Source organism: Homo sapiens, chromosome 11 (assembly GCF_000001405.40).
Source record: "Homo sapiens chromosome 11, GRCh38.p14 Primary Assembly".
Lineage (NCBI taxonomy): Eukaryota > Metazoa > Chordata > Mammalia > Primates > Hominidae > Homo > Homo sapiens.
This window is the reverse complement of record NC_000011.10, coordinates 99,993,001-100,007,620: the sequence shown is the minus strand read 5'-3', so window position 1 is coordinate 100,007,620 and position 14,620 is coordinate 99,993,001. Positions and strand designations below refer to the sequence as shown.

Sequence of the window (14,620 nt, the reverse complement as noted above, 5' to 3'; positions counted from 1 at the left end):
TCAATTCTATGAAGGCTGACAGAGGTGAGGAAGCTGCAAGAGAAAAGTTTGAACCTAGCAGAGGCTGGTTTATAAGGTTTAAGGAAAGAAGCTATCTTTATAACATTAAAGTGGAAGGTGAAGTAGCAAGTGCTGATGTGAAAACTTCAGCTAGTTATTCAGAAAATCTATCTAAGATAATTGATGGAAATGGCTACACTAAACAACAGATTTTCAATGTAGACAAAACAGCCTTATTTTGAAAGAAGATGCAACCTAGGACTTTCATAGCTAAAAACAAGTCAGTGTCTGGTTTCAAAACTTCAAAGGACAGGCTAACTTTCTTGTTAGGGGCTAATGCAGCTGGTGACGTTGAATCTGAAGCCAATGCTCATTTACCAATTTGAAAATCATAGGGCCCTTAAGAATTATGTTAAATCTACTCTGTGTTCTTGAAATGGAACAACAAAGCCTGGTGACACTGCATGTTTACAGCATGGTTTACTAAATATTTTAAGCCCACTGTTGAGACCTACAGCTCAGAAAAAAAGACTCCTTTCAAAATAATACTGTCCATTGACAATGCATCTCATTAGCGAAGAGAAATACTACTGTCCATTGACAATGCATCTCATTACCCAAGAGTTCTGATGTAGATGAGCAATATTAATGTTATTTTCATGCCTGCTAACACAAAATCAATTTTGTAGCCCATGGATCAAGGAGTAATTTTCAAATTTCAAATCCAATGACTTAAGAATGAATTACAAAATACATTTTATAAGGGTAGAGATTCCATAGGTAATTATTCCACTGATAGATCTGAGCAAAGTAAATTGTAAACCTTCTAGAGAGGATTCGCCATTCTATATACCATTAAGAACAGCTGTGATTCATGGAAGGTCAAAATATTAATAGGAATTTGGAAGAAGTGGTTCTAACCCTCATGGATAACTTGGAGGGGTTCAAAACTTTAGTGGGGAAAGTAAATGCAGATGTGATGAAAACAGCAAGATAACAAGAACTAGAAGTGGAACAGGAAGATGTGACTGAATTGCTGCAATCTCACGATAAAAGTTGAATGAAGAGTTGCTTCTTATGGATGAGCAAAGAAAGGGGTTTCTTGAGTTAGTGTAGTCCTGGAAAAGATGCTGTGGACATTGTTGAAATGACAACAAAGGATCTGGACCATTACATCTACTTGGTTGACAAAGTGGTGGCAGAGTTAGAGAGGATTGACTCCAATTTTGAAAGAAGTTCTACTGTGGGTAAAATGCTATCTAACAGCATCATAAGCTACAGAGTCAATCAATGTGACAAACCTTATTGTTGTCTTCTTTTAATAAATTGCCACAGCCACCCCAACCTTTAGCAGCCACCACCCTTATCAGTCAATAGCATCAGTCATCAGCAAAAAGATGATAATTTGCTGAAGACTTATATCAGCATGAGCAATTTTTAGCAGTAAAATATTTTTAAATCAACGTGTGTAAATTGTTGTATGTATGTAAGCCAGGCATGTAAATGCTACTGCCTACTTAATAACATACAATATAATGTAAACATAACTTCTGTGTGCTCTGGAAAACCAAAAAATTCATGTGACTTTCTTCATTGTGAAATTTGCTTTATTGTGGCATCTGGAACTGAACCTCAAATATCTCCAAGGAATGACTGTATATCTAGGAACATATTTGGTTCAATGAATAACATGATAAAAAATAGTGATTTATGGTAGGAAATGTGAATTACTCCGCTAAGGCTGGGAACAGGTAAAGTTGAAAATAGCAAGATTTTGTACTTATGATCTTCTTTGTTTGTCCCTCAAACCATTATTATATAAAATATTACACTTTGTGATATATAAATATTTTTCACTCCATCCTTTGCCCTAGCTTCTATAGATATGATAAATCTCTCTTATCCTTAGCCTCAAAAAAGGCAACAAACAAATCCTTCTTAAGAGGCAGTAGATCAAGAAAGTTTTTTGGGGTTGTCATGTTAAACAGTAAGTACAACTTGGACATGAAAATATGCTTTGAGAATAAAATAAAAATAAAGTTTCAGTTATACAAATTAAATAAGTTCTAGAGATTTGCTGTTGCCAACCTAGTACCTATAGTCAGCAATATTGTATTGTGCACTTAAAAGCTCATTAAGAAGGTAGATGTCATGATAAGTGTTCTTACCACAAAAATAAAAAAGAGAGTTGGAGAATGGTAGGTCTAAGTTAACAAAGATAAATGATAGAGTGAGGCAAGAATAGGTAGGAAAAGGTAGAGGCAAGTATAGCATGTAATTTTGGATATAAATAAGAGAATACGGGAGAGCAGGAGATACAGGTGCAGAGTATACATGATGTATTTGTGGGGGGGACAGGATAAGGCATAAATAACTTATTTATTTTTGATTAACTGTTAATAATAAAGAGTTGATTGGATTAAGTAGATGGAATATTTTTAAGTTCATTCATTCCTATTTCCTGAATGCTATGTGCCAGGTGCTGTGGTAGGCACTAGGAATAAGTAAATGAAGAATACAGTAATGATTCCTGCCTTCTTGGGGATTAAAGCCTAAGAGTGGGGAAAGTGCTGGCTATTCTGTTTTCCTCCCTTGCCTGTCACCTTCTTGTTCCCTGCAGACCCTCTGCCTTGCCTTGTGAACTGACAATTGCATCCGCAGGCTTGTAGAGTGGCTTCTGTTTGACTTCAGCCATGAGAGCCACCAGAGGAGATGAGAAGGCAAGAGGAAAAAGAAGTCAGGATATAAATTTCCTAATCCTTTCTTCAGCTGTGTTCTTATATAAAGGCTGTGTCTCTTCACAGCAACAGTCATTACAGCTCCCATTGGTTGATCCCTGGCCCACTTCATATCTCCAGTTTTCCCTGGTTCTGGAAACACCATCTCCTCCCACTTGCTCCTTCAGGATTACACATGACAATGAGTCATTGCTATCAGGAGTTTATACATGTCTTGGTTTTTCTTGTTCTTCTTAGCCTGCTCACAGATCTTCAGCTCATCACTTTACTAAATTCTATTGAAATGTCTGAGTTGGATCCTGATTACATCTGGGATCCTGACACAGATAAATGTTTTAAGTGGAGAAACACGTATGTGGGAAATTTAAAATTGTGTTAAGGACTGTAAAAAAGGGATTAAAAAGTATACAGACAGAGAATAATGGGTGTGAGTTAGATAACATGTACATTCATAGATAGCCTATTTCAGGAGTGATATTGAAATTGAGGCCAGAGGATGAATGAGAGCCCCCATGGAAAGAACAGGGGGAGAGAGATCCCAGTGTAAGAAACAGCAAGTGCAAAGGCCACAAGACAAAAAAAAAGTTTGACATGCTCCATTCCAGAATTTGGTTATAACACTCTACAAGGAATGTTTGGTTAGGACACAGTGAGGGGGAAAACAGCCTGAGTGGTAAGATCCTGACGATATCCAGTGACAGATACTGAAGTTTTTGCAACAGACAAAGGCCCACAAGAGCACCATGTGCTTGCTGAAGTAAGAAGCAGCTCAAGTGAGCTGTGGGAGCCACGCGGATGCTCAGGAATTAATTTGCAATTGCTGTGATTATGTTGGGATGAAATGGTGATCCACACCACAAGACAATGTGCTGTAAAAGGATGAACACATGTCAAGATGTTATTTCTTTGATCTTGTTTATTTTCATAAGGGTGGCAGATTGGTCTTTAGGTAGAGGGTAGACATCTTCATAAGATGTTTCTTTTTTCCATAATTGTGACATTTCTTAGAAAGGACACCAAGTGATAAACAGAGACCTTCTTGAGTGAAGCAGTCTTCTTTACACTCCCTTTTATGTATTTACTTTTGAGAGTTGGGTAGCAAAGAAGGAGTAGAAAGGTTGAAGAAAATAACATATTAAAAGAACATAAGTGATTTAGTGATTTGACTGTTGGGTCTTACCTAGAATGAAAGAGACTGTAAGCCTCAATTTACTAAACATATTTCAAGGCTTCCAAAGGCAACCACATCTAACTTATTAAATAAGCTTGCCTGGGGAAATATTTATATTGGTTTTTTCCTATAAGTCTAGTTTTCTAATTTGTTTTACAATATGACCTCCCTTTGTTTGTGGCCTTAGTATAAATTCTGGCACTGAAGAATTATTTAACTACAGGATACACTAAAACCCTTGTCTTCAAGCCAGAATATATTATTTTTGCATTTGTCAGTATTGAGCTTCTTACTTGGGACATTTTCAGACCTATTTGACACAGAACAGCAAATGGTGACAAACCAGACTTTTAACTATTATTCAATCTTATGCGCTTAACTAACATCTTTAGGTTTAGGAGGCTTCCTCAGATATCTGCCCAAATACCTCCTAGATACATTTTACATTTTGAAATTTATTTCTACTTCTGGCTATCTTTTGCTTAAAAGATGGGTCACATAACAATTCATTTTGCTTATAGTCTATTATGATGTTGTTTCTACTTAAAGTAGAATTGCATATATGTCTTATTTTAATCATTCTTGATATTAAAACACGGTGTTTACTATGTTCGTTCCTTAAATCTACCTTAGCTAGCTGATTTTTTGTCATATTTACTAATATTTTCCTTACCCAAAGGCTAAACCTACTTTAATAATCACACTTGTGTATCTGGCTTTATCTCCGAGTACTTTATAGTTATATTGTGGGAGTTTGCTCTCTGCAACTGAAGTTAAGTAATTAGTAACTCTGACAGAGATACATTTATGCAAATTATAGTGTCTAGAAAGAACCCTGAAGTCTTAGCATCCTAAAAAAAAAGAAAACAACACTCTGTTTAAAATAAATCATAATACAATAATCAAATATAATCAAAATTCCACTTCTGCCTCTGATCTCAATACCTATACTGTAAACATCATTGACAAGTGACTATATATCCTGGGCTGTAAACCCTCAGAAATATAATCATTAAATATGGCAGGCATTAGCATGTGACATAAATTCTTTCTCTCATTTGGGAAATGATTACATGTTGTACATATTGACAGCTGGTGCTATTAAGTTATGATTTCAGGAGATACTAAGGTAATACACAGGATCACTATGTAACTATTATCCTCATGATTTTTATCTGCTGTCTTATTATGTCTTATAAGAATCTACATCCTATACATGAGGAGCAGATAGTACTTTGCCTTTCTATCTTCTTTATTTACATAAGGACTGAATGAAATTTAAAGATGACACTTAAATTTTAAGATACATAGGTAAAGATGTAAAGCTTTTTATTCATTAAAGAAGTTTTTTTATGTTAAAATAGCAAAATTATAGAAACTGTTGTCCATAGAAATGACTAGAAGATAACTGTAACTGATTACTTCATCAATTGCCATTTGACCTTCTTTTAGAAAATAAATAGCCACCATGGAACAACTGGGGAAATGACACCTAGCAAAATAAGTGATCCAAAAATAAGATATGTCACATTTTAATAAAAAATTGTGTTTAATTATGGAAGAACATGTACTTACTTGCCAAGTGCAAAGCATTCCATCTTAACAGTTGTTCCTTTAGCAGCTGTAACCGTGAAAGGAAAATGGACCTCAATTTTCGGCTCATATTCTCCCATCACACCTTAGAAAGAAAGAATAGTCTTTAAGCATCAAATGAATGTTACAATTTGTTTCTTAATCCTGGAGATGTTACATTGAAAATCACTGTGGTTTGGTTGTTAATGTCTGTTTGATGACTGTTAAATTTTTCGATGTATTGAAATAAGTAGTACACTTAGGCTCTATCATTTTGATGAAATCCTAGTCTTCCCCTGAGGACTAGATTACATGCATGTTCATTATCATTTAAACTAATAATTATTGAAATTGTTAATCAACATTAGTAGTACAGTTACTAATTGTTCTAAAAAAACTATGACTATTTCCCATTTTAAATAAGAAAAGTTATCAAAATTTTCTTATTGCCAAATAAATATTCATTTATAAAGTCAAATATTTATTGAATATCTATAATATGCACGGCATTTTGCCAAATATTGTGGGAGTAACAAAAGATTAATCAGTTGTGCTCTCAAGCACTCAGCAACTATATTCTTAAAGAGAGAAACAACATACTGTACACTCAAGTATGGGAGAAAAGCTATCTATCAAATTACTGTAATGAAAGATAAGAAGTGATCATTGCCATGAATGAGGTATTAAGTATTATGCACCAATATGGTTTGGCTCTGTGTCCCCACTAAAATCACATCTCAAATTGTAATCTGCGTATGTCGAGAGGCACGTGGTAGGAGGTGACTGGATCATGGAGGTAGATTCCCCCATGCTGTTCTCGTGATAGTAAGAGAGTTCTCACAAAATTTCATGGTTTTAAAAGTGGCAGTTTCCCTGTTCTCTCTCGTCTCTTCTGCCACCACGTAAGACATGCCTTGCTTCTCCTTCTCCTTCCATCATAATTGTAAGTTTTCTGAGTCCTTTTCATGTGGTAGAAAAGAAAAACCCCATTTTCTGTTGAGAAATTAAACCCGGCTGCAGAAATTTGCATAAGTAACGAGGAGCTGAGTGTTAATAGTGAAGACAATGGGAAAAATGTCTCCATGGAATTTCAGAGATCTTCATAGCAGCCCCTCTCATCACAGGCCTGGACGCCTAGGAGGGAAAAATGGTTCCATGGCCAGCCTGGGGCCCCACTTCTCCGTGCAGCCTCGAGACATGGTGTCTCGTGTTCTAGCTGCTCCAACTCCAGCCATGGCTAAAAGGGGTCAACATACAGCTCAGGCCATTGCTTCAGAGGTGCAAGCCCCAAGCCTTGGCAAATTCCATGTGGTGTTGGGCCTACATATGTGCAGAAGGCAAGAGTTCAGGTTTGGCAACCTCTTCCTAGATTTCAAGGGTGTATGGAAACACCTAGATGTCCAGGCAGAAGTTTGCTGCAGGGAAAGATCCCTAATGGAGAACCTCTACTAGGGCAATGCAGAGGGGAATGGCGGGGTTGGAGCCTCCACACAGTGTCCCCACTGGGGTATTGTTTACTGGAGCTGTAAGAATATGGCCACCATCCTCCAGACCCCAGAATGGTGGATCCACAGCTTGCACTGAGCACCCAGAAAAGCCATAGGCACTCAACGGCAGCCCATGAAAGAGCCAGAGGTGCTGTGCCCTGCAGAACCACAGGGGCAGAGCTGCCCAAGTCCTTGGGAGCGTATGCCTTCTATCATCATGCCCTACATGTGAGACATGGAGTCAAGGAGACTATTTTGGTGCTTTAAGATTTAATAACTGCCTTGCTGGGTTTTGTATGTGCATGTGGCCTGTGGCCTCTTTGTTTTGGCCAATTTCTCCCATTTGGAATGGGAACATTTACCCAATGCCTGTATCTTGGAAGTAACTAACTTGTTTTTTATTTTACAGGCTCATAGGTGGAAAGGACTATTCTTGTCTCAAATGAGACTTTGGACTTGGACTTTTTATTTATTTATTTATTTATTTTTATTATTATTATACTTTAAGTTTTAGGATACATGTGCACAATGTGCAGGTTAGTTACATATGTACACATGTGCCATGCTGGTGTGCTGCACCCATTAACTCATCATTTAGCATTAGGTATATCTCCTAATGTTATCCCTCCCCGCTCCCCACACCCCACAACAGTCCCCAGAGTGTGATGTTCCCCTTCCTGTGTCCATGTGTTCTCATTGTTCAGTTCCTATCTATGAGTGAGAACATGCAGTGTTTGGTTTTTTGGCCTTGCGACAGTTTACTGAGAATGATGATTTCCAATTTCATCCATGTCCCTACAAAGGACATGAACTCATCATTTTTTATGGCTGCGTAGTATTCCATGGTGTATATGTGCCACATTTTCTTAATCCAGTCTATCATTGTTGGACATTTGGGTTGGTTCCAAGTCTTTGCTATTGTGAATAGTGCTGCAATAAACATACGTGTGCATGTGTCTTTACAGCAGCATGATTTATAGTCCTTTGGGTATATACCCAGTAATGGGATGGCTGGGTCAAATGGTATTTCTAGTTCTGGATCCCTGAGGAATCGCCACACTGACTTCCACAATGGTTGAACTAGTTTACAGTCCCACTAAGAGTGTAAAAGTGTTCCTGTTTCTCCACATCCTCTCCAGCACCTGTTGTTTCCTGACTTTTTAATGATCGCCATTCTAACTGGTGTGAGATGGTATCTCATTGTGGTTTTGATTTGCATTTCTCTGATGGCCAGTGATGATGAGCATTTTTGCATGTGTCCTTTGGCTGCATAAATGTCTTCTTTTGAGAAGTGTCTGTTCATGTCCTTCGCCCACTTTTTGATGGGGTTCTTTGTTTTTTTCTTGTAAATTTGTTGGAGTTCATTGTAGATTCTGGATATTAGCCCTTTGTCAGATGAGTAGGTTGTGAAAATTTTCTCCCATTTTATTGGTTGCCTGTTCACTCTGATGGTAGTTTCTTTTGCTGTGCAGAAGCTCTTTAGTTTAATTAGATCCCATTTGTCAATTTTGGCTTTTGTTGCCATTGCTTTTGGTGTTTTAGACATGAAGTCCTTGCCCATGCCTGTGTCCTGAATGGTATTGCCTAGGTTTTCTTCTAGGGTTTTTATGGTTTTAGGTCTAACGTTTAAGTATTTATTCCATCTTGAATTAATTTTTGTATAAGGTGTAAGGAAGGGATCCAGTTTCAGCTTTCTACATATGGCTAGCCAGTTTTCCCAGCACCATTTATTAAATAGGGAATCCTTTCCCCATTGCTTGTTTTTGTCAGGTTTGTCAAAGATCAGATAGCTGTAGATATGCGGCATTATTTCTGAGGGCTCTGTTCTGTTCCATTGGTCTATATCTCTGTTTTGGTACCAGTACCAGGCTATTTTGGTTACTGTAGCCTTGTAGTATATTTTGAAGTCAGGTAGCGTGATGCCTCCAGCTTTGTTCTTTTGGCTTAGGATTGACTTGGTGATGCGGGCTCTTTTTTGGTTCCATATGAACTTCAAAGTAGTTTTTTCCAATTCTGTGAAGAAAGTCATTGGTAGCTTGATGGGGATGGCATTGAATCTGTAAATTACCTTGGGCAGTATGGCCATTTTCACGATATTGATTCTTCCTACCCATGAGCAAGGAATGTTCTTCCATTTGTTTGTATCCTCTTTTATTTCATTGAGCAGTGGTTTGTAGTTCTCCTTGAAGAGGTCCTTCACATCCCTTGTAAGTTGGATTCCTAGGTATTTTATTCTCTTTGAAGCAATTGTGAATGGGAGTTCACTCATGATTTGGCTCTCTGTTTGTCTGTTATTGGTGTAGAAGAATGCTTGTGATTTTTGTACATTGATTTTGTATCCTGAGACTTTGCTGAAGTTGCTTATCAGCTTGAGGAGGTTTTGGGCTGAGATGATGGGGTTTTCTGGATGTGCAATCATGTCGTCTGCAAACAGGGACAATTTGACTTCCTCTTTTCCTAATTGAAGACCCTTTATTCCCTTCTCCTGCCTGATTGCCCTGCCCAGAACTTCCAACACTCTGTTGAATAGGAGTGGTGAGAGAGGGCATCCCTGTCTTGTGCCCGTTTTCAATGGGAATGCTTCCAGTTTTTGCCCATTCAGTATGATATTGGCTGTGGGTTTGTCATAGATAGCTCTTATCATTTTGAGATACGTCCCATCAATCCCTAATTTATTGAGAGTTTTTAGCATGAAGATTGTTGAATTTTGTCAAAGGCCTTTTCTGTATCTATTGAGATAATCATGTGGTTTTTGTCTTTGGTTCTGTTTATATGCTGGATTACATTTATTGATATGCGTATATTGAATCAGCCTTGCATCCCAGGGATGAAGCCCACTTGATCATGGTGGATAAGCTTTTTGATGTGCTGCTGGATTCGGTTTGCCAGTATTTTATTGAGGATTTTTGCATCAATGTTCATCAAGGATATTGGTCTAAAATTGTCTTTGTTGGTTGTGTCTCTGCCCGGCTTTGGTCTCAGGATGATGCTGGCCTCATAAAGTGAGTTAGGGAGGATTCCCTCTTTTTCTATTGATTGGAATAATTTCAGAAGAAATGGTACCAGTTCCTCCTTGTACCTCTGGTAGAATTCGGCTGTGAATCCATCTCGTCCTGGGCTCTTTTTGGTTGGCAAGCTATTGATTATTGCCACAATTGCAGCTCCTGTTGTTGGTCTATTCAGAGATTCAACTTCTTCCTGGTTTAGTCTTGGGAGAGTGTATGTGTCGAGGAATTTATCCATTTCTTCTAGATTTTCTAGTTTATTTGCATAGAGGTGTTTGTAGTATTCTCTGATGGTAGTTGATCCAAAATTGACACCCTAACATCACAATTAAAATAACTAGAAAAGCAAGAGCAAACACATTCAAAAGCTAGCAGAAGGCAAGATATAACTAAAATCAGAGCAGGACTGAAGGAAATAGAGACCAAAAAAACCCTTCAAAAAGTTAATGAATCCAGGAGCTGGTTTTTTGAAAGGATCAACAAAATTGATAGACCGCTAGCAAGACTAATAAAGAAAAAAAGAGAGAAGAATCAAATAGACGCAATCAAAAATGATAAACTGGACTTGGAGTTTTGGATTAATGCTAAAATGAGTCAAGGTATGATTAGTTTTGAAATGTGCAAAGAATGTGAGATTTGGGAGGGGTCGGGGTAGAATGATATGGTTTGGCTCTGTGTCCCCACCAAAATCTCATCTGAAATGGTAATCCCCACATGCCAAAGGAGGGACCTGGTGGAAGATGACTGAATCATGGGGGCAGTTTCCCCCATGCTGTCCTCATGATAGTGAGGGAGTTCTCATGAAATCTGAGACTTTTAAAGTGGCAGTTTTCCATGCTCCCTCTCTCTCTCCTGCTGCCATGTAAGATGTACCTTGCCTCCCTTTCACCTTCTGCCATGATTGTAAGTTTCCTGAGGCCTTCCCAGCCATGTGAAACTGTGAGTCAATTAAGTCTGTTTTCTTTATAAGTTACCCAGTCTCAAGTATTCTTTATCAGTGTGAAAACAGACTAATACATGCATATTTGAGGAGATCATAAGAATAATGAGGGTTTGGATAAGTGGAAAAAAGATAGGAGAGAGTAAATGGAGCTATAAAAAAATGATAAAGAGATGGGAAGTGACCAGAAATAGGAATATCAATTTTTCTGACATCTGGATATGTGAAGGGAAGTGATATTAGATAAATCTGGAAATATATGGATGGAATGAAAAAACAGATGGAATCTGAAAAATAGAGAGCATTGATTATCAGAGTAAAACATTTAGACTTTAATCTGTTTTGGAGCTACAGTGGTTTTGAATAGGGAAGCTGCATTATGCTGAGATGTATATAGTGAAACTGGAGCAGAGACAAATAAATCAATGACATTACTTCAGTAATACAAGATAAAGACCTGAGCTGTAATAATAGTAATAAAAACAGACAAAAGGCACTAGATGGGAAAAACCAATTAATAACTGAATTGGCAAAACTCGGCAGACAATGAGGTACAGGAATAAGGGCATGGGCAGTGTCAATAATAACACTATAATTTGCAGCTTGGGGAATTTGGCAATGTCAGTAAAAGAAAAAAGGACACGGTTAAAGTAGAAATGCTGATGAGCTTCAATTTGGAGGTAATGAGTTTGAAGTACCTACAAGATATTCAGAAGAAAGTATCTGACCACACAGTAAAAATGAGAGAATGACGCTCAGGATGAGTTCTAGACAGGGGAGAACACCTACAGTCATTTAGAGGTGGTAGATGAAGCAGTGAGACTGGATAGGTCTTTCACCTATTAGAAAACAATGCAATAGCTGAGGCCTGGTGGATTTTGGTGCTAGTGCCATCAGATAGCCTTGGAGCAAATTTTCTCCTAAAATTAATTTTTAGAAGCCCCCTATGTGTAAAATACCACATAGAAAACAGCCATGATTTGGCACAGATGCTTCTCTGAGGAGACTGTGCATGTGTTTGGGGGTGTCTATGTTTGTGGCCATATGAGCATGGATGCATCTTTGTGCATATGTAGTTCTCTGTACAATTATTTTGCATATGTATGTGGAATGAGAGGAAAGAAGAAGAAATCCAAATAGAGTAAGATAAATTCTTTAAGATATGAAGGTCATATACACTGGACATGCAAAGGGAAAAAAAGGGCTACCTTTGGCGAGAAAACCATTTTATGTGTTTAATATTTATCTATTTATTTGTTATGTAGGTTTTGAAATAAGTTTTGAAGAAAGCATATGGATAAGTTTAGATGGAAAATGTTTAATCTCACATAAGACAGAAAGGTTATCTTTGCTCTTTGTGGTATTTATTGTTTTTTTTTTTAATTTTTTGGCAAAGGAGAAAAAAATGTCACTAAAGTTTTTATCACAAAGATTTGGCTTCTAGACCTGGCTTCACTGAATGTCTAGTCTGTACCATCTCTGACAGATCAGAAAACTCTGGGTTTCATTTTTCTAATCAGTTTACTGAGGACATAGAAGGGAATTATCACCAATATAATGTCCTACTCTAAAAGGCTAACTCCCTCAATTACTTTCCAGTCTAAAATTTGCTGCACATCAAGAGCCTGATAAATAGCAAGTGAACTGAGTGGTTAGCACTATTATGTCACCAAAAACAAATGTTTAACGACTTCTTCTCTCTTTATCAATAATGTTTGCTTCATCTGCTTCTTCTTAAATATTTCCCCATGCCCCTCCATACTATACCTGCCAGGTTCCTTTCTTTTACTTCCTCTTCATGTCAGCATTTTTCCCCATGGTGTCTCTACTAGCTACTTGAATAGCAGGATGTGGTCTGCTGGTGATACCTATAAACTCAGCCGAATGTTTCTAATGATGTGAAGTTTATCTTTAATGCTCTCTTACTTGTAAGCCCCATAGGAAGACTCCAGGCATCCTGTTTAGAAGCTACCTATGAATGCTCTTGTGAAGCAGTCCTCAAACTTAATTTCCGATTTCCCTGCCTATTCTTAAAATTGATTTGGTATTGTTGTTACTTTTCTACCTGTTAATCTGATGACACAATAACACCTGATTTATCATGATGCTTATTAAACCTAAGCCTCTTATATGCATGAGTCCCTGTGAGTGCTGGCATTTACTCAGTGTCATAGGGTGTTGGAGTGGAAGGTCAAATTTGGAAAATATTTCTATATAATTATTTCTAGTAAATTGTCTAAAGAGATCTTAGGAGAAAGGGACTTCAACCTCCAAAGCTACGGTAATTCATTTTGATTTTTTTCTCTTTCTAAGTATAATACTATTTGTAGAACCCACTTTTATATTAATTCTTTAGTATTCTTTTTATTAAGTAAGGTACCAAGGTTGTACGACATTTTAGGCTCTTCAGAATCTACATCTGCCTGTGAATAATACCAAAGAGTTAATGACACTATTGACTGATATGAGTCAGATCAGATCCATATAGTCTCTCTTCTCTTCCAGATTACATTTATAAATTGCAAAGAAGACATTCTTTTGTTGCCATTGTCGTTAAAAATGACCCAAAGGATGGGTACTTCTGATAGTATTTGGGGGGTAATTTTGCCCAGATACAGCCTTCTGGAGTTCCTCAAATAATTTCCATTATGGCCAAAGGCATTCTTAAGCCTCACTTCTGGCCCCAAGAGGTTGCTAATATCTGAACTATATATTAAAAATAAAACAAAAAGAGTTGAATAAGAGGCTTCAAATTATTTTACCTAATTTGGGCTATACTGCAAGAAATTATAACTGGTTTTTAAAATTTTCTCATCACACTAAGAGTGATGATATAAGGACATATTAGAAAGCTTTTTAGACATCTTGCCATTTAACAAATGATAATATTCAGTGGTTACGTTTTGCTTTACATTTCATGGGATTATTGTGTTACAGCTAAAGTTGAGCCTAGCTCAGGGTTCCCCACCCCTCCAGGCCACAGACCTGCAGTGGTCTGTGGCCTGTTAGGAACCAGGCTGCACAGCAGGAAGTGAGAGGCCGGTAAGTGAGCATTACTGCCTGACTTCCACCTCTTGTCAGATCAGTGGCAGCATTAGATTCTCACAGGAGTTTGCACCCTGTTGTGAACTGTGCATGCAAGGGAGCTAGGCTGCATAATCCTTATGAGAATCTAAAGCCTGATGGTCTGAGGTGGAAAAGTTTCATCCTGAAACCATCCCTCTGTGTCTGTGAAAAAATTGTCCTCCATGAAGTTGATCCCTGGTGCCAAAATGGTTGGGAACCACCCACTGCCTTAGCTGATATAATTTACCCTTCTTCTTTTAGAAATGAGGTAACTGAGAGTCAAAGAGGTCAAGTAACTGGCCCAAGGTCCTACTGAAAGTTGCTGATAAAAGTGTTGCAAAATTAGGGATTTTCGGACCTTATGTGCAGAGCTATTTTCTTGAGATCACTGTGTTGAGAAACTTCAATCACAGAGTATAATAGTCCAGGCATACTATATGTACTACATTAATCACTGACTGTCTGACTTGGCTACATGGTTTATTTCAGTTGCAAGTTTTAGTATCTCAAATCTTGTGCAGTTTAGCTTCAAATTCCTTTTGTTAGGCAGAGTTTGATGCTGAAAGGGAAGGGAGACAGTCCCATAAGACACACAGTCAAAGATCAAAATATCAGGCTTGTCTCTTCAGTCAAGGTAGCTC

General features: G+C 37.7%; 1 protein-coding gene across 12 annotated transcripts in view; it reads right to left on the bottom strand.

Annotated features, from left to right (window-relative positions):
* Positions 1-14,620, bottom strand: part of CNTN5 (contactin 5) — a 1,337,937-nt gene that overhangs the window by 351,265 nt on the left and 972,052 nt on the right. For all 12 annotated transcript variants that reach the window (XM_017017926.2, NM_014361.4, XM_011542871.2 and 9 more), the window contains one exon: positions 5,485-5,587. In XM_017017926.2, the coding sequence (XP_016873415.1) occupies positions 5,485-5,587 (103 nt within the window). The remainder of the gene's footprint in view (positions 1-5,484; positions 5,588-14,620) is intronic.